The following is a 20,264-nucleotide window of genomic DNA, read 5'->3' as shown; positions in this document are numbered from 1 at the left end:
CCAATTTTCTAAAGAGCCATGAAAATCTCAGCAAGGATGATCTTTTGTCTCTCATCACAAAATAGTACCTTTCTCTACTGACCTTTGCAATAATCTCAAAATATGGAGGATGTTATTCTTCCTTTTAGTGCATGGTCTAAATAATACCTTGGGAGTCTCTACTACCACCTGATTAACACACCTAAACACGTGTGCAGTGTGTCTTTACACACACTGAAAAGTAGGATTTTCCCTTGGGGCAGATAGAAACAAAAGTCAGGAGAATTATGGTGAATTATTTTATTCTTTTCTTATCAAAGCACTGCCAAAGACACATTGTCTACATCAATAGTAGGCTGAATAATTAATTGCTCCAAAAAGATGCTTATACAATTATCCTTGAAAAATGAATATGCTTTGTTATATGACCAAAGGCACTTTGCAGAAGCATTAAGGTTATGTAACTGAACTTAAAATAAAAATATTACACTAGGTTATTCAGGAAAGTCCGATATCATGACACGAGAATTTACAGGCAGAGAACTTTCTCTAGTTGGAGGCAGAAGAGAGATGCAGCAGACGGGAAGTTAGAGAGATTACAAGTGTGAGAAGAATTCAACCTACAAGTGTTGACTCAAAATGTATGAGCCCACATTCAAGGACTGGAGAGACGCCTGCCAACTCCAGCTGATGGTCAGCTAGGAAATAGGACCTCAATCTTATTACCACAAATAACTGGATTCTGTCAACAACCTGAATGAGTTCAGAAGGAGAATCTTCTCAGAGTCTCATAAGAAGACTGCCAGCTGAAAGCTTGATTTGAGCCTTGTGAAAATCTGAGTACAGAATCTAGCAGAACCATTCCATCCTTCACACGTACAGAAATGTAGACAATAAACCCTACAAAGGTAATAAATGTGTGCTGTTGTAAACTACTACATTTGTGGTAATGTGTTACAGCTACCATAGAACTACTACAACTTTCTGGAAAGACTACAGAATTTGTAAGAATTCACTCTCTTCAGATGGTTGCTACACAGTTATTTCCTTGGTCTTTCCTCATTTAACACCTAGGAGGGAAGCTCTGAGTTTTGGCGCTTAGTTGAGCTCATTCATCAGTGTATAGATTCGGTGGCAACATTCAAAAAGTCACCAGTTTAAAACCTCTTCTTTTTCTAATCTCACCTGCTTTCTAAAACCTCTTCTCTACTTCAGGATTATATCTCTGCTTCAGGATAAAATATCAGTTGATTCTATCCCAAACCAGACTCTCCTCACCAGCAGATTTGAAAACACTTTGAGTGTGGTGGAGGCACCCAGAGATGAAGAGGTATCTAAGCTTCACTATTTGAAGTGAACAATTACACAGAATGGGCTGTTGCTGTCAGAGGGAATCCAAGGTGAGGGGTGGGGCTTCTAGGCAGTTGGAAGCTTCTATGTCCAGGAGAAGGCAGGCAAGTCTGGGCTGTCTATTCCTCTGGGAGCAAATGCAGGCTCCAGAGAAGGACACAGTAAAGCTGGCCAGCAGGTCAGTTCCAGTTTGGGCAGGAGGGCACAGTGGGAAGACCCAGGGGAAGGGCACGGTAATGTGGGAAAGTGCTGGACTGAACCCATTTGAAGGGACCAGGGCAGAGTCAGCTCCGGAAGAATCCAGGCTAAAGGTGGGAGGACTCCAGGCCAATGAACCCCACAGACAGTCCCAGATTGTGTCTCATTCTCATTCCACCTTCCTTTTTAGAGCCTGCTTTTAGTGCTTTGGCCACAGGGTCTTTCTTTTCTTTGTCTGAGAGACATTGTGGAGTAGCGAGAAGCGAAATGAATTAATAGACCTAAGATCTGCCTCAGGCTGAGAGGACTGGAACAATGTGGGCTGTAGAGGAATTCAGACCAGGAGGTCTCATCTCAGCCTTGTCACTTGAACTCGAAAATTCTGTGAGCCTCAAGTTCTTTGTGAAGTGGGCTTGAAGAAGTCATTTTGTTCTTTGGCTAGTGTATACCTTGTGAAGTCTGACTTTTACAATGTAAGTTATTTGTGTAGGGCAGCTGGCACAGTGTTAGTGTGTACTGGGTTTTTGATAACTAACAGTTTATTCTATTATATTTTAGATTGCTAACACTACCAACCTTCCCCTCTTGGAAATTTTTAATTTATTTTTCATCCTGGAGATATTAAGAGAATATGCAGCCCTCTAAGACATGGAAAACCAAATCAATCAAAATGCTTCTTACCAAGAGGAAGTTACTTACTTGATAAGAATCTTTTTGAGGATATACATTTTTTACATTGTGTGTTGGGAGAATCTACCCCAGCTAGATGCAGCTCAGCTGGATGCTCCTAGAAAATGTGTCAAGGACTTCCTCCTTCACTCCCATCAAAACACCTATCCCTTGCTTTAAGTTTGCCAAATTACACTCAAGATAATCTAGTTTAAATACCCTATTAATGGAATGGACTCTGCTGTGAACAGGAATGTGTCTCCCAAAAGGCACTCCAACAGTATTGTGAGGTAGGACCTGATGAGAAGTAATTAGGCCGTGAGAGATATGCCCTTATAAATGGATTAATACCTTTATCACAGGAGTGGGTTTGCTTCAAAAAGTATGTTTGGTCCCCTTTTCTCTTGCTTTCCCTCTCTCACTGCCTCACTTTCTGCCATGGGAAGGCCCAGCAAGACATCCCTCCCTTGATGCCACCAAACACCTTGATCTTGGACTTCCCAGCCTCCACTACTGTGAAAAAAATTCTTTTCCTTAAAAGTAACCCAGTCTCTGGCATTCTATTATAGCAACACAAAATAAAATAACACAGGCTCTGTCTTTCCCAGGCCAGAGCAAAGAGTGTCAGTAAAGTGGCTTCTGAGCATCCCATGTTAAGATAGTATTACCCTTATTTCTCAGAAACTTGCTGGAGATGATGTGTATAGAACACGTGGTTTGTGGTCTGTGATCAACTGCACTGGAGTTAGGAGAGCACAGGAAACCTTTCATTCCTGCCCCAGGTGAAGATTTCTTTCTGTTTTATCCATGAGCCCAAGCAACTGCTGTAACTACCTGTCCATTCCAGACCTTAGTGTTTCAACCCTGGACATGTCTTCAGACAGGATGGCCACTGCTCACCACTCTCAGAGCCTCATCTGACCAAGCAAGCACAGTGGCTCACACCTGTAATTCCAGCACTTAGGGAGGCTGAGGCAGGCAGATTGCTTGAGTCCAGGAGTTGGAGAACAGCCTGGGCCACAAGGCGAAACCCTGTCTCTACTAAAAGTATAAAAAATTAACCAGGCACGATGGCGTGCACCTGTAGTCTCAGCTACTCAGGAGGCTGAGGTAGGAGAATCACCTGAGCCCAGGATGTTGAGGCTGCAGTGAGTTGTGATTCCCACCACTGCATTTCAGCCTGGGTGACAAGAGTGAGGAAAAAAAAACCAAAAACCAAAAAAACCACACAACTGATTCACACTGAAAGACTTTCAATTTCCCAAACCTCCAATCCCATTTGCCTTAAGGCATTTACATTTGATGCTCTCATCTAGATAACCCTCTTCCTACATTCTCACTTTGTTTGACTTGTCCTCTAGGACTTAGTGGGTATCTCACCATATTCCTTATGTAACATCTTCTCCTAGATTCTAAAACCCAATGAGCACAGGTAGATCTTCCTTATCCTGACATCCTAGCACAAGGCCATCCAAAGAGCAGATGCTCAATTAATGTTTAAGGAACAGATGAACCAATGTGCAAAAGGTCTAATTTATTACAATGTAATTAATTATATATTCTTGAATAATGTAAGCATATCCTGGCATATATCTTTTAATTTTACATAACAACAGAATAAAAGTCAATAGGGAATGTAATAATTAGCCATCTTTTACTGTTTTCTCTATTTTTTTTTTCTTTTTTGAGACAGAGTCTCGCTCTGTCACCCAGGCTAGAATGCAGTCGTGTGATCTTGGCTCACTGCAAGCTCCGCCTCCCGGGTTTACGCCATTCTCCTGCCTCAGCCTCCTGAGCAGCTAGGACTACAGGAACCCGCCACCACGCCTGGCTAATTTTTTGTATTTTTAGTAGAGACGGGGTTTCACTGTGTTAGCCAAGATGGTCTTGATCTCCTGACCTCATGATCCGCCTGCCTCGGCCTCCCAAAGTGCTAGGATTACAGGTGTGAGCCACCGCACCCGACCCTCTTTGCTCTATTTCTTGATCCCATTTATTACACTCCTAAATTATTTCACATTGAATTAGGAAATGCCTAATTTACTACCATGCTATCGTGTTTCGATCACTAAATAAATGGAGAGTTTCCCAATTAGACTTATAAAGCAATAAATCGCTTACTCTTAATCTCACATACAGAAAAATTTGAGCAATGTCATTCATAAACTTAGATAGTGAAGCTACTTTAACCATCTATTAAAGGAACAACATCTTCAAAAATTCCAAGCCATCACATAGAACATTAACACAAACATATTATTCACTGTGTTGTCTCCAGTCCCACCCTGACCTCCCACAGCTCAGAATGTGCATTTCTTTTCAAACACAAATGAAGAATCTCCCTCAGACTTTACTGCAGTTGGGAGGACTTGCTGGACTTAACCTTGGAACGTGCACCGGCTGTGGCACTAACGCGAGCCTTGGCTGCAACTCTGGCTCTGGCTCTCTCTTCCTCATCTTGTAAAGCCTCTGTATACCAGTTTGAGAATTCACTGGGAGCTGTATCATTTACCTTGGCCAAAAACTCAAGAACTTTCATCTTGCTGGTTTCAGCATGGGCTCTTGGGCCCCATAGGAATTGATAGCGTGGAGGATCACTGTTGGGCACTTGCTGGTACTCCAGGTAATTTTCTTTCACCAAATCTTTGGTAAGGAGCTTCCTGGGCTCCCCAAACATGAAGTGCTCAATTCCGTCATATAACCCCATCGTGTTAAACACTTTCCAGACTTCCTCCTCAGCGACACAATTGCCATTTGTGAAGATAATACCCAGGACAGTCATCAGCAGGCCAGTCTTGGGCACGCCTGTTTCATCACTCAGCTTTGCATCACAGCCTAGATCTAGTTTGTTGACAAGGACATAGATGTGCTTATTAGGCTCCACTTCCTTCAGGTCAAGACCAAAGATCAGCTCCAGGTGCTCAGAAGCTCTGCTCAGGATTACAGGGAACTGGCTCTTGGACATTTGGGTTACATTTCTCAGCATATCTGCCTTTGTAATGGGCTCTTTCATTTGGTACTTGTACAGCAAGTAATGCACCAATATAATTACTTTCTCATCTACAGGGCCTCTGGGAAAGCTATCAGTGGCTTCTAGATCTTGTGTGCATATTGGCCTTTCTTCCATTTGGTCGTTGACTCCTTCGGGATGTCTTGTGTGTGAAGCAGCTGTAGCAGATGTGCTGGTGGATTGGGCTTCCCGAAGTCCATGGGGATTGTTGGATGCCCCATCAAGTGAACTCTGGAAAACATCCTTCAAACAAGCAGAGGCAGAGGGGGGAGATTCTTCCTCCTCTTCTAAAATGTCCAGAGCATCTATCAAATCTTCCAGCCCTCCTCGGGCCTGACGGCGTTTTTCCCTGGCACGGAGTTTACTCTTCTGACCTCGAGGCATGATGACTCTGTTCAGGTGCAGCAGCCAAAAAGGCAGGTGATCCCGTGACCTGGAGAAGAGAAGATGAAATGGGGTGTGCCCATTCAGCAGAGAGATACAACTTTAGCTTTATTGACGGCCACCTCTGAAAGTTTTCTTGGTGCATTACTCAAGGAAAAACAAGGCCCCTATTCTTTGATTTGCCTGCCCCCTGAGTACTCTGTGAAATAACTAGGATGTGTTTTAGGTTGCCACTTGCCAGATCTGCCTGGGGCTTACTGGGTGATGACAGCCAGGCCTGGCAGGTCCAGGCTTTGTGGAGGCCCCTTTGTTCTTGGGTAGGGACTCTTTTCTTAGTTCACATTCAGAACTGTCCTCTTGATTTCTGGCAGGTTCTGGGATCCCTCTACTCTACTGACCCCTCATTTCAGTCCCCTCATTTCCCTGCTACCCTGGTAGAGAAACTGAAAGGGAAACTCATCTGACCACACCTGCCTGAGGACATCCAGGATGACTACAATAGAAAAGCTCTGAGGGACCTTCTATATTCTGGGATCCTTAGTGTTCTCATTCTTCACTCAGGGTTTTCACCTTGGCTTCTGCTAGGCCCTGGGACTTCACCCTGTGATGGCCTGAGACCTATCCCCTCAGAGCAAGGCCCTCACATCTCTGAGTTACAAAAGGAGAAAGTGAGAGAGACCTCAGCCTAACATATCTACCCCACAGTCCCTCAGGGTTGACAGCATAGATGGGACTCTGTGCTGTCCCCTTTTGATCTGGGGTGGATGGCTCCCTCAGAACTCAGGATTCTTTTTACTCTTCTTAGGGCTTGGGACTCCTTCTCTGCTGACCAGAGGCTGACACTCTGGTCCAACGCCCTCCCCTCCCTGAGTTCTCACCAGAATTCAGAGGGTGCTTCATCAGGCCCTGTCCTGGACCTGTCATGAATCCATGGGGCCCGTCTTTTGGAGTGGAAGTCCCCCTCAAACTTCACTCAAGATCTTTGTATTCCCTTTTGGCAAGGCCTCAAAATAGCTCCTCTGACAACCTAAACCTCTTCACTTCTTTGAGAAAGCAGTAATGGAATTCAGAAAGTGTCACAATAGCCACTCCAACCTGGGACCTCCCTGGGCTGAGAGCAGGGGCAGACTCTGTTATGAACCCCTCTCTTTTGTGGTGGGTGGTTCCTTCTGATCTCACTCAGTTTCCTCACCTTTACTTCTGTTAGGGCCTGGGACTCTTATCTGCTGGCCTGAGGCTGTAACCTTGGTCCAATGCTGTCCTCTCCTTGAATTTCCAAAGAGGGAATTCAGAGGGTGCTATATAAGAGGTTTTTTTTTGCCCAAGGTTGGCTACCACTAACAGCAAGGGCATGGCTATTACCCTTACACCTCACAAAGGGTCTTTATCTTACCTCCTAGCAGGGCCTGGAACTCCTCCCTCTGCTGATTTAACACCTCCCTCTGGCACCAGTTTTTTAACTTCCCTAAAAATCCAGAGGTGGAACTCAGAGACTTTTATATCTGGCCACTCCATTCATGGGCTTCTCAGGCCTGAAAGCAGAAGCCTGGATGCTGTGGAGCCCTTCTGATCTGGTGTGGATAGTTGCCTCAAATATTAGGGTCTTCACCATCACTGCTGGAAGGTCTGGAACCCTGCTCTCTACTGGTCTGATGCCAAAGCATGGTTCAATGCTGTCACCTCCCAGGATCCTGGGAATTCAAAGGGCACTACATCAGAGGATCCCTGTCCAGGGTCTCCCAGGGCTTACACAGGGCTGGGATTCTGTTGGTCCTTCTCTCTTCTGGTATAAAGAGTCCTCAGATCTCAGTTAAGGTCTTTAACTTAACTCCTGACAGGACCTGGAAATCTCTGGAACTCTCTTTTCTGCTGATTTGAGGCTACCCTGCTCAGACTAATGCCTTCATTCTTCTGAGAAGTTAGAGTCAGAAGTTGGGGAAGCCAATTCTAGCCACCCCCATATGGGACCCAGTGCTGAGAGCAGGGGTGCAGCTCTTAGAAGTAAGGGGGTGGCTTGTGTTTTGTGGGAGTAGGGAATTCTGACAGAAGTTGCATAGGGGTCTTTCATTGACTCTGGGGGGCCTGGGACGACTCCTCCTCCTGATCTGAGTCATTCAGCTTTAAAACAAAGCCTTCGTCCCCAACCACTTCACCCCACAGTCCCATATCCCTGGACTACAGAGGGTGAAGTGAGGAGGCTTCTGGGCCTAACATCGAGGCATTGGCTTAGAAATGTTAACAGCAGGGGTGGTCTCTGTGCTGAGCAGTCTGTTATGGAGTGGGTGACTCTTTCAAAACTTCATCAGGGTCTTCATTTTTATTCCTTTTAGAGACTGGGACTCCTCCCTCTGTGGATCTGAGAATGACACCCGGTCCAATGCCCCTACCTCACAGTGAGAAATGATGTAAATTTTACTACAGATCATGTAATAACTTTGCAAATGGCTAGTGCAGAATCCCCCTTTATAAAAATTTTCAGTTGATTCGAATCAAGTCAGGATTATAACAGTAAAGAAGATAGAGATTTGGACTCCACCTATACTTGTTACCTGCAGTCCATTCAATAAGGAGCTGCAGCATCTGCAATGGTTCTCCATCTACCCTGGAAATACTTGCCTTGAAAACCAGCACCCTACTACAGTGTTTGGTGGCAACAAAGGCCACCAGACACAGCAACAAAAAATCAGCCCTCTGTTCTGCAAAGAAGTCAGTGATGTTAGGAAGTATTCGGAGTTGGGGATAACATCTGGATCCTTGTTTAAAGGCATATGCACGCTCAGCCTTTTAGTTACAGAGTCAGTGAGGTAGTTCGTCTCAGGAAATCCCTTTTCCAATTCCCCCCTCCTTGAATCTACACTATGCCACTACTCATTGGTACTATTTGCCCTGTTTTAACTGTCATTAATCACCAATCATGTCTATTTGCACAGCTTCAACCTCAGTGGTAGGAGGGCCACATACTCAAGGGGGGCCACATATACAAGGGCCACATACATTCTTTCTTATAGGCATCAAGACAGCTCTCAACCCTGCTACACTGGAAAGGGTGCCCTGAACGACCAGAGTAGTGAAGAGATGTAGCTCTCCCAGGATCAATTAATATCATAACTGGTATTAATTGACGCAGGGTAGCAAGCCACACTCTGCCTGAGAAGTGGGAAGGGAAGACTCTAGCAGAGCACGCCTCTGGACAGCTCAGCCTACAACTTCATGCTGGTAATGATGATTCAGAGATTGCCAAGGCTATTCAGAAAAGTTGTCCAAGACACCACCAGTTTCCTCATCTTTACTCCTTCTTGTCCCATTGCTACCCCACGCTGAACTCTGGATACAGATCCCTGACTACCCCGTGCCCTGAGTTCTCTGGACTTTGTTTAGCTTATGATCTCTCTCGTGGATTCTGGAAATTGTTCCAGTGCCCAGTTTTCCTGATGTCCTTCACTAATTGAGGTTTTCTTGTTAAGGCACATTTCCTGGAACCTTGTCATTCTGAGTAAATCCTTTCTTCTCAAAGTAAAGAGAAATGTGTTATTGAAATATCAAAATTCTAAGGCATATTGTGGAGCAATATGTAAACAGTTATCAATGTATATTTAAAACTCACAGTAACCAGGTACAGTGGCTCCCAACTGTACTCCTAGCTGCTTGAAAGGCTGAGGTGGGAGGATTGCTTGAGCTCAGGAGTTCTAGGCTATACTGAGTTATGATCACACCACTGCACTCCAGTCTGGGCAACAGAGCGAGGCACCGTCTCTAAAAGAAATAAATAAGTAAATAAAAATTAAGAAGAAAAAGGAGCAAACAAAAGCAAAAAAACCCTCACAGTGTATTTTTGTTGCACATGTATATAAGAGAAAGCCTATAATACATTTAAAAATACTACATGCAGGATTTAAAAAATGTGGTTACATATGAGGAGGTATTGAATTTTGGAGGGACATAGTAAGGAAGCGAAATTTTGATTTATCTGTATTAGAATTTTTGGCAACAAGAATACATACACTATTTTCTTGGTAATTAAAATATTTAAATAATAATAACAATGGAATTAGTAGTTGTGTATTGTACAGATAAAGTATGTATGAGATGTAATGGCAAAAGGCTGAAATCTCAATGGCTTAACACACTAAAGGTTTATCTCTTATGCAAATAAACTTTGATATTAATTAATAGGGATTTTTTGCTGTCAGGTGTCCCAGGGATCCATGCTGCTTCTATACTGTGGCTCCATATCTCAGCATGGAAGAGAAGGCATGGAGGTGGCAGACTGGCTCTCAAACACTTTGATCTGAAAGGGAAAAGCATGCTACTGTTCATATTTCAGTGTCAAGGGGGGTAGTCACATGACCTTTCCAAACTACAAGTGGACTGGCAATGTAGTCTCCATATGAACCAAGGATAGAAAGCAAGACACAAAGTGGATGAGCACTTGCAGTCTGTCCAATTAACTATTATAATAGTAAAAGCTCAATAAAAGCTACTACTATAAATTTGTTATGAAAACACCCTTCTTAAGTCTTGGAGGAGTTTCTGAGAATATCAAATATCTTTGCTAAACAACAACATTTTCTAGTGTCTATATGTGACAGGTAATTTCAAATCCAGAATCACACTAATTTTCAAAACGATCCTGTAAATCTCAGCAAGGAGGGTTCACCCCGCTGCACTCAATAACACCTTTCTGCACTGACCTTTTCAATGACCTCTATAATCTCAAGAGACTGAAAAATTTCTTCCTTCTTTTGATGTATTGTTAAAAACGTAACTTGTGAGTCCTGCTACCCACCACCTGATGAACATGTACACCTGAGCACATGTACAGGTGCCCTTAGGCGCAATGAAAAACCAGGATTTTCCCTTGGCGCAGATACAGACAAGAATCAGGAGAATGATGGCGAATTATGGTTTTTCTTTTCTTATCAAAGCTGGCATGTCTGCCAGAGAGACATATTCTACCTCTGTGGTAGACTGAATAATTGCTCCACGAAGATTCACATATCCTCATTCCTGAAACCCATGAATATGTTATGTTACATGGCCAAAGGCACTTTGCAAATATAATTAAAATTATGAAACCGACCTGAAAATAGAGAGATTACACTGGATTGCCTACATGGGCCAAATCTAATTAGATGAGCCCTTACAAGCAGAGAAGTTTCTCCACCTGGAGGCAGAAGAGATATGCAGCAGAGACAGAAGTTAGAGAAATTCCAAGCGTGAGACAGGTTCAATGTCCCAAGTCTGACTCAAAAGTAGAGGCCCACATGCAAAGACTGGACACAGGCCTGGAGAAAATATGGCAGCTCCAACTGATAGCCTGAAAGGAGACTTACTCCTCACTCTTCTTACAACCACAAAGAACTGGGTTCCTCATATAATGACCTGAATAAGCCTGAAATGGGATTCTTCACAGTGTGTCCCAATAAGAAGCCAGGCTTTGACAGCTTGATTTGGGCCTGTGTAACCCTAAGCAAAGAAACCAGCAGAACCAACCCATACTTCTCACCTACAGAAGGGTGATCTAATCAATATGTTATTTTAAGTGTCTTACTGTATGGCATTTGTTATGTCAGCATAGAAATCTACTACATGCTCCTAGTACACCAGGATTTATAGGAATCCAATTTCTGGACATGGTTGATACACAGTTATTTCCTAGGTCCTTCCTTATCCACCACTTGAGACAGAGGCTTCGATATTTTCACCATTCACTTAAGCTCACTAGTGTATGGATTCAGTGCTAGTCTCAAATAAGTCACCAGATTACATTCTCCTCTCTTTCTAACTTCATCTGCTTTCTACACCTCCTCTCTAACTTCAGAGTTATCTTTCAAGGTTAGATTCTGTTCCAAGTCTGACCTGACTCACAGGCAGACTTGGAAAAAATCTTGAGTGTGGTGGAATTACTCAGAGCAGATGAGCAGGTATGTAGTGTTCACTGCCAAAGTAAACAATTACATGGAAGGGGCTGTTATCAGAGAAGTTCCAAGTGAGTGATGTGACAAAACAGAGGACATCTGCAGGGAGTTGGAAAGCTCTAAGTCAGGAGAAAGGAAGGAAAGTTATTCTGGGCTTTCTTTCCCATAGGGAGCAGGGTGCAGCCTTCATGGAAGGAAGCAGGGAAGAGCTGGACAGCAGGTAAGGATCCAGATTTGGGCACAAGGACTCACAGGGGCTGACTCAAGGAAAGAACAGTGTAATTTGGGAAGTGCTGGATCTGGTCCCAGGTGCCAGCACCTGGGCAAAATCAGCTCCCAAAGAACCCTGGAGCTAGGGGTGGATGGACCCTACGAAAATGAGGCCCACGGGCAGTCCCCAAATGGTGTTCAATTCTCATTTTCTCCATTATTTATTACATCTGGATTTAGTACACTGGCCCCAGGTTCCTTCTTTTTATTGCCTAGAGACACAGTGCAGTAGTGAGAAGAGAAATGAATTAAAAGACAGACATGTGCTTCATGCAGGAAGGAGTGCAACAGTGTGGGTTCTAAACAAATTCAGACTATGGTTCTAATTTTGACACTTAATGAACCACGTGAAGTCAGGAAAATTGCAAAGCTCTATGAGGCTCAGGCTTTTTGTGAAGTGACCTTGATAAGCCTTGCCTTGTAGGATTTCTGGGTTGTATGTAATGTATGAAAACTCTGGGAAAAGTGCCTATTATTTATTGCATATTTAATAACTAGCGTTTGTTACTATTATTAGTTTGACCCCAGGCCCTATTGAAATCTCTGTGATTGTTTTTAAAGCAAGAGATGTCCGAAAATATGCAGCACTCTATGATACAGCACACAAATCAACCAAAAATGCCGCTTAGCAAGTAAAACTCAGTTATTTACTTTGCAAATTTGAGGATTTCTTATTTATTGCGGGTGTGGGGTAGTCTTCCCCAGTTGGATTCAAGACTCCTATAATTTATGTCAAAGACTAATTCCTTCCATCCCTTCAACTATCCTTCCATCCAAACCACCCCTATTTTCATTTCTTTCACTCGCATCAAAAATCTAGCCCTCACTTGAGTTTGCCAAATGATACTAAAGACAACCTAATAAAAATGCCCTTTTAGGAACAACACACACCGGGTCCTGTTGGGGTGTGAGGGGCAGGGGGAGGGAGCCTAGATGATGGGTCAATAGGTGCAGCAAACCACCATGGCCCATGCATACCTATATAACAAACCTGCACATTCTGCACATGTATCCAGGAACTTAAAGTACAAGTTTTTTTAAAAGCCCTTTTAATTAAGTGGGTTTAGTGGGCTCTTGTTTCTCCCAGGCCAGAGCAAATAATGCCAGCACAATGGCTTTTGAGCACATTCATGTCAGGTCACCCTTGATTCTCAGAAGGTCCCTGGAGCTGATGTGCATAAAACATAGTTTGTGGACTGTGCCCAACTGCACTGGAAAAATGACACTGGAAAAGGATGCAAGACACCTTCCATTCCCATCTTACAATTATTTCTGGTTTATCTATTACCTCAAAATAACTGCTAAAAGCACTTCTTCATTCTAGGCATTAGTCTTTTTGAGGATCTGGCCCCTGCTCTGTACTCCCACAGCCTCAACCAACCCACTATCCAGACTAACAAAATTGACTGACACTGAAGGGTTTGCAGTTTCCTAAGGCCCCAAACCCACTTGCCTCAGGACATTTTCACTTGACTGCTCTGATCTGGATCTTCCCACCTTCTCTTACTCATCCTTTACTTCTTAGGGTATATCTCACCATCTTCCTTACATGACAGCTGCTCTTAGACTCTACAATTCAGTGCGTGCCCTTGGGTCTTGTTTATCCTGACATTCCCAGTACCAGCATGGCGCCTTCCCTCCAAAGAACAGATGCCCAAGTAATGTTTGAGAAATAAGTGAGCCAGTGTGCAAGAAGTCAGTTTTATTATGATGTTCCTTCTCCTACATTGTTGAATAAACTAATCATATCTAAGTATCTATCTCTTAATTTTACAGAACAGACTAAACATAACGGAATGAAAGCATTTATCATCTTTTACATTTTACCTCTATTTCTTCATCCCAACTATTTTACTGCTTTTTTAAAAAAATATTTCCAAGGAAATGGCTAATCCACTACTATGTTATCTCATTGGAGATCACTAAATAAGATGGAAATTTTCCCATTTTTTTCTATAAAATAGTAAAACTCTACTCTAAAACCTCACAAACATCAATAAATGTATGACTTACTATCACTTATAATCTTGGATTCTTAAGCTACTTTAACCTTCTATTAAAAGGAACAACGTTTAAATATCCAAGTTACCCAGAACATGTTATGTACTATGTTATAACGAGACACAGCCAACCCTCCACTAGTGAAACACTGACTGTCCTCTTCAAAAACACAGTAAAGCATTTTCCTCAGCCTTCACTTGGAGCAGGCAAGGCTGCTGGACGTGGCCTTGGAACGTGCACTGGCCATGGTGGCAGTACGGGCCCTGGCTGCAATTCTGGCTTGGGATCTCTCTTCCACATCTTTCAAAGCCTCTTCATAATGGGATGGGAAGGCACTGGGGACTGTACCATGGATCTTGGCCAAAAACTCTAGGACTTTCATCTTGCTGGTTTCAGCATAGGCTCGTGGACGCCACAGGAATTCATAGCTTGGAGGACTGCTGTTGGGCACTTCCCAATACTCCAGGTACTGCTCTTGCACTAAATCTTTGGTGAGGAGGTTCCTGGGCTCTCCATAGATGACGTGCTCCTGTCCCTCGTATACCCCCATCATATTTAGCACCTTCCAGACTTCCTCCTCAGGGGCACAATTCCCCTGGCTGAAGATCGCACTCAGGATGGTCATCAGCAGGCCATTCTTGGGCAAACTTCTGTTAGGATTCACTCTTGTGTCATGGCCTAATTCTAGTTTGTTGACAAGGACATAGATGCTCTTGTTGGGATCCACTTCTCTCACGTCAAGGCCAAAGACCAACTCCAGGTGATCAGAAGCTCTCCTCAGGATCTCAGGGAAGAGGCTCTTTTACGTCTGGATTACATTTTTCAGCATATCTGCCTTTGTAATGGGCTCTTGCATTTGACATTTGTACAGCAGGTAATGCACCAACATAGCAATCTTCTTATCTATAGGGCCTCTGGGCCACTGCCCAGTGGTAGCCTGGGCCTGTGAGGCATTTGACCTTTCCTCAACTTGGCTGTCGATGCCTTCATTAGATGCTGTGCATGAAACAGCTGCAGCAGTGGTGATGGCTAGAGCTATCCCAGGCTCTTGCTCATTGCTGGGTGTTTCGACAGCAGATGACCTCTCAGGACTATCTTTGAAATGAGGAGATGAAGTGAGGGACTCTCCTTCCTCTGCTACAGTGACTTGAGCACCTTCCACGTCCTTGGGCTCTTCTCGAGCCTGGCGGCGTTTCTCACGGGCACGGGGCTTACTTTTCTGACCCCGAGGCATTATGACTCTGCTCAGAGGTAAGTAGTAGTGTGAGACAGATGGCAGGTGATGAAGTGACCTCAAGGAAAGAAGGTGTGATCCTCCAGCAGGAAGATATCACCTTGACTTTATGGAAGTTGCTTCTGTAGGTTTCTTTGAGAACACTGTTCAAGGATCCTATGAGGCTACTCTTCTCTGAAGGGCCTTTCCCCTGAGGAATCAGTGGAAGTAACTAGACTGTACCTTTGCTGAAGCCTGCCAGTATTACCTGCATCTTACTGGGACTGATACAGTGACTGGCAGGTCCAGACTCTATGGAGCTTCCTTTTTTTCTGGGGTAGACGATGTTTCTTTCAATTCACATTCAGGGCCATCACCTTGACTTCTGGCAGGACCTGTTATCTCACTGCTGAACTGTTTTGATGCTGACTCCCTCATTCCAAAGCGCTCATATCCTTGACTCCCCAGACAAGAAATTGAGGGGGAATCTCATGTGACCACATTTGCAGGGGGACATTGTGGAATGGCAGCAATGCAGAGATCGGTGAGACCCTCTTTATCTTGAGGTAATTAGTTTTCAGTCCTCAGTCTTTACTTTTGCTTCTTGGAGGGTCTGATTGCCCTCCTTTTGCTTACCTGAAACCTATCCCCTCCAAGCAAGGCCTTCACATCCCTGACATTCCTGATAAAGATATTAGGGAGGCCTCAGATGTATCTTCCCCAGGGACCCCTATCAGGAAAGACAGCACTCTTAGGGCTCTATGAATCCTCTTTTACTTCTGGAAATTCAGGTTCCTCCTAATGACTCCTCACCTTGACAGCCTCATACCTTCCCCTCTGAGGACTTGAGGCCTATACCAATCAGAGAAAGGCCCTCTTCCACTTGATATCCCAGAGTATGCAGTTGGAGGGAGGGGGTGGGGTGCGTTCAGAATGACAAATCTGCCCAGGGCTTCCCAAGGCTGACCACAGAGGCAGTGCCTAGCCCCATCAGTCCTCACTTTGACTTCCATAAGGGCCTGAGTCACCTCCCTCTAATGACCTGCCACTGACTGCCCTATCAAATCTATGTCCTCATCACCCTGTGACCACTAAGGATAAATTGAGGGATACCTTAGCCGAGAGTCATGCTGAAAGGCTACCAAGGCTCATAGTAGTGGTACTCTGTTGGGTCCCCTTTGTTCTGGGAAGAAAATCCCTTCAGTCTTTGCTCTGGGTTCTAAACTAAACTCCTGGTTACCCCCAAAGACTCCTTCCACTGCTGACCTCAATGCGCTAGCCTTAGTTTGTACCCTTCCCCACGACCACCACCAGAATATGAAGCGAGGGGTCACCTGGGCCTTACAGCCACGCTAGGGACCTCCCAGAACTTACAGGAAGGGCAGGATTCTCTAAGGCCGCCATCTTTATGGGAAGCTAGTTTCCCCCACAGCCCACACTGGGGCATTTCATTAACACGTGGCAGAGCATAGTGTGTCCGGAATTGGTGGGTTCTTGGTCTCAAAAGCTGCGGACCCTCGTGGTGAGTGTTACAGTTCTTAAAGGTGGCGTGTCCGGAGTTTGTTCCTTCTAATGTTCGGATGTGTTCGGAGCTTCTTCCTTCTGGTGGGTTCGTGGTCTCACTGGCTCAGGAGTGAAGCTGCAGACCTTCGCTCGTGGTGTTACAGCTCATAAAGGCAGTGTGGACCCAAAGAGGGAGCAGCAGCAAGATTTATTGTAAAGAGTGAAAGAACAAAGCTTCCACAGTTTGGAAGGGGACCCCAGCGGGTTGCCAAGGCTGGCTCGGGCAGCCTACTTTTATTCTGTTATCTGGCCCCACCCACATCCTGCTGATTTGTCCATTTTACAGAGAGCTGAGTGGTCTGATCTGACAGGGTGCTGATTGGTGCATTTACAATCCCTGAGCTAGACACAAAGGTTCTTCACCTCCCCACTAGATTAGCTAGATACAGAGTGTTGACACAAGGGTTCTCCAAATCCCCACCAGAGTAGCTGGATACAGAGTGTCCATTGGTGTATTCACAAACCTTGAGCTAGACACAGGGTGCTGATTGGTGTGTTTACAAACCTTGAGCTAGATACAGAGTGCCGATTGGTGTATTTACAATCCCCTAGCTAGACATAAAGGTTCTCCAAGTCCCCACCAGTCAGGAGCCCAGCTGGCTTCACCCAGTGGATCCCGCACTGGGGCCGCAGGTGGAGCTGCCTGCCAGTCCCGCGCCATGCGCCCGCAGTCCTCAGCCCTTGGGTGGTCGATGGGACTGGGCACCGCAGAGCGGGGGGCGGCGCTCGTCAGGGAGGCTCCGGTAGGACAGGAGGGGGGGTGGGTGGGGTGGGGGCGGTGGGCGGGGCGGGGCGGGGCGGGGGCCGGCGGCGGGGGGGGGGCGGGCGGGGGGGGGGGCGGGCGGGGCGGGGGGGGGGCCGGCGGGGGGGTGGTGGTTGGGGCGGGGGCGGGCGGGGTTGGGGGGGGCTGGCGGGGTTGGGGGGGGCTGGCGGGGTTGGAGGGGGCTGGCGGGGTTGGGGGGGTGGGAGAGGCTCAGGAATGGCGGGCTGCAGGTCCTGAGCCCTGCCCCACGGGAAGGAAGCTAAGGCCTGGCGAGAAATTGAGCACAGCAACTACTGGCCCAGGTGCTAAGCCCCTCACTGCCTGGGCCGGGGGGCCTGCCAGCTGCTCTGAGTGCCGGGCCCGCCAAGCTCATGCCCACCGGGAACTTGCGCTGTCCCGCAAGCACCACGTGCAGCCCTGGTTCCCGCCCAGGCCTCTCCCTCCACACCTCCCTGCAAGCTGAGAGAGCCGGCTCCGGCCTTGGCCAGCCCAGAAAGGGGCTCCCACAGTGCAGCGGTGGGCTGAAGGGCTCCTCAAGTGCCACCAAAGTGGGAGCCCAGGCAGAGGAGGCACCAAGAGCCAGCGAGGGCTGTGAGGGCTGCCAGCATGCTGTCACCTCTCAATAGGACTCCTTCCCCTGCTGCCCGAGGCAGACACCGTGGTCCAATACCCTCATCTCCTTGAGAGGTTAAAGGTGGAAATTCCAGCTACCCCTACTTAGGATCACCCAGGCTTGAGAGCAGAGGCTGGGCTCTGTGGGGACCGGTCCGCTATGGCAGAAAGGGAGTTTTATGGAACTCACCCTTTATTGACTCCTGGAGGGTTCTAAGACCCTTATCTCAGGTGGCTTGATGCCAACACCTTAGTCCAATGCTATCACTTCCCTGACTCTCCAGAAGAATAATGCAGAGTGCGATACCCAAGAGGATCCCTGCCCGGGGTTTTTTCGGCTTAAGGCAGAGGCTGGACGGCATGGCGTTCTTTCTTTTGCGGTAGGGGTTCCCCTCAAACATTATTCAGTGTCTTTGCCTTACCTCCTGGCAGGGCCTGGATGCCTTCCTCTGCTGACCAGATACCAACCGCCTCACTGCAAGGCCTCACCTCCCACGGACGGCAGAAGCGGAAGTGTGTGTGACATCCGGGCATCCTGCCCACGGACCGAAGGGCTGCCAGCAAGGGCGGTGTGGCGTGACTTTCTGTGGCGCCCCCTTTGTTATGGAGTAGTAGTAATATTAAGTCCTCCTCTAGGAAGTATATCCATGTTTTCGCTCCTAATTCATTGATTAAAGGCCCCTTAGGGAAATAATAACCCTTTATTGACTACTGGAGGGTTCTAAGACCCCAATCTCTGGTGGCTTGATGCCAGCACCTTAGCCCAATGCTATCACTTCCCTGACTCTCCAGAAGAATAATGCAGAGTGCGATACCTAAGAGGATCCCTGCCCGGGGCTTTTGCGGCTTAAGGCCGAGGCCGGACGGCATGGCGTTCTTTCTTTTGTGGTAGTGGGTCCCCTCAAATGCTATTCAGTGTCTTTGCCTTACCTCCTGGCGGGGCCTGGATGCCTTTCTCTGCTGACCAGATACCAATCGCCTCACTGCAAGGCCTCACCTCCCACGGACGGCAGAAGCGGAAGTGTACGTGACATCCGGGCATCCTGCCCACGGCCCGAAGGGCTGCCAGCAAGGGCGGCGTGGCGTGACTTTCTGTGGCGCCCTCTTTGTTATGGAGTAATAGTAATATTAAGTCCTCTCGGAAGTAGATCCATATTTTGGCTCCTAATTCATTGATTACAGGCTCCTTAGAGAAATAATCACCAAACAATAAGCTCTGGACAGTTTTGCAACATAAACCGTTACGGATAATGGGTTTGCGTTCCAGGCTTGATGGGAGAAGAGAGGCCGCAGCACAAAGGTAGGGTGCCCAAGACAGATTCTGAGATGTTGGAGTAAGTGCATTATAACTATGGGGTCTCTTCACTGGCGAAATGTAGACATTGCGAACTTTCTGTTCTAAAAGATCTACTTTCTATAGAGAAGCCATAGATGTACACAATTTTGTGAGACCCAGATCTCTTGACTTTATCTAACATTGCATTGTATTGTGCAGTGAAATTCATTTTAATTATGGTCTTATTTGTTCCACCAAATATATTATATGCATGTTCTATTACTACTGCTTTGTGTGGCAAGGCTTTTGATTTTGCTACAGTGATTTATACACCGCTTTTCAGAAGTCATTTATTGATTTGGATTGGGTGTGGTCTTTTCCTTTGGATTTTCTAAAATGATGATCACATTTTCACCAAATAATTTCTATTTCTATTAAATATTTCCAAGTTACATTTGTTTTTATAGTCTTATCCTCTGGCCATGTATTCAGCATACATTTATGTCTGGTTCCTTGCTTTAATGAGAATGCGTCGAGCGTTCAGCATTTCACATTTAAGTTTGTTTGCCATAGGTTTTAGGAAATGAAAGTTATCTTCTGATGTTAGTTTGTGGAATGTTATCAAGCATTTGTGTTGAATTTTTTGTTGAAAAATTTTTCTGTACCTCAGTACATGATCGAATGCCCATTTAAAAAAATGTAATGGCCGAGCGCAGCTACTCGGGAGGCTGACACATGACGATTGCTGGAGCCCAAGAGATCGACACCAGTCCGCAACATAGTGGGAGTCGGTCGCTATAAAAAATTAAAAAAAAAATTAGACGGGCACGGTGGCGCACGCCTGTAGTCTGAGCCACTCTGGAGGCTGAGGCCCAAGGATCTTTTGAGTCCAAGCAGGTCGAGGTTGCTCCAGTCTGGGCGCCAGAGCAAGACCCATCTCAAATAATAATAATAATAATAATCTAATCTGTTAGTGTGAGAATATTTTAGGCAATTTTTTTCTAATGTTGTATTATCTTTACATTTCATGGATACAGACTTTTTTTCCATTGAATTAA

The 20,264-nt window shown here is 45.8% G+C and overlaps 1 protein-coding gene and 1 pseudogene across 1 annotated transcript; both read right to left on the bottom strand.

Annotated features, from left to right (window-relative positions):
• MAGEB10 (MAGE family member B10) lies at positions 3,883 to 18,907 on the bottom strand. Its single transcript, NM_182506.3, has 3 exons — positions 18,861 to 18,907; positions 9,195 to 9,343; positions 3,883 to 5,639 (listed from the first exon to the last, which is right to left on the bottom strand). Exon 3 carries the CDS (start codon positions 5,588 to 5,590, stop codon positions 4,547 to 4,549), a length of 1,044 nt encoding a protein of 347 aa, NP_872312.2. The 5' UTR covers positions 5,591 to 5,639; positions 9,195 to 9,343; positions 18,861 to 18,907; the 3' UTR covers positions 3,883 to 4,546.
• Positions 13,982 to 15,013, bottom strand: LOC100420323 (MAGE family member B18 pseudogene; annotated as a pseudogene).

This window comes from Homo sapiens, chromosome X, assembly GCF_000001405.40.
Source record: "Homo sapiens chromosome X, GRCh38.p14 Primary Assembly".
In the NCBI taxonomy this organism is placed as follows: Eukaryota; Metazoa; Chordata; class Mammalia; order Primates; family Hominidae; genus Homo; species Homo sapiens.
This window is presented reverse-complemented; position numbering and strand designations above follow the sequence as displayed.

Coding starts and splice junctions, on each gene's coding strand:
- MAGEB10 (NM_182506.3), bottom strand. CDS start 5,590: ATGCCTCGAGGTCAGAAGAGTAAACTCCGTGCCAGGGAAAAACGCCGT.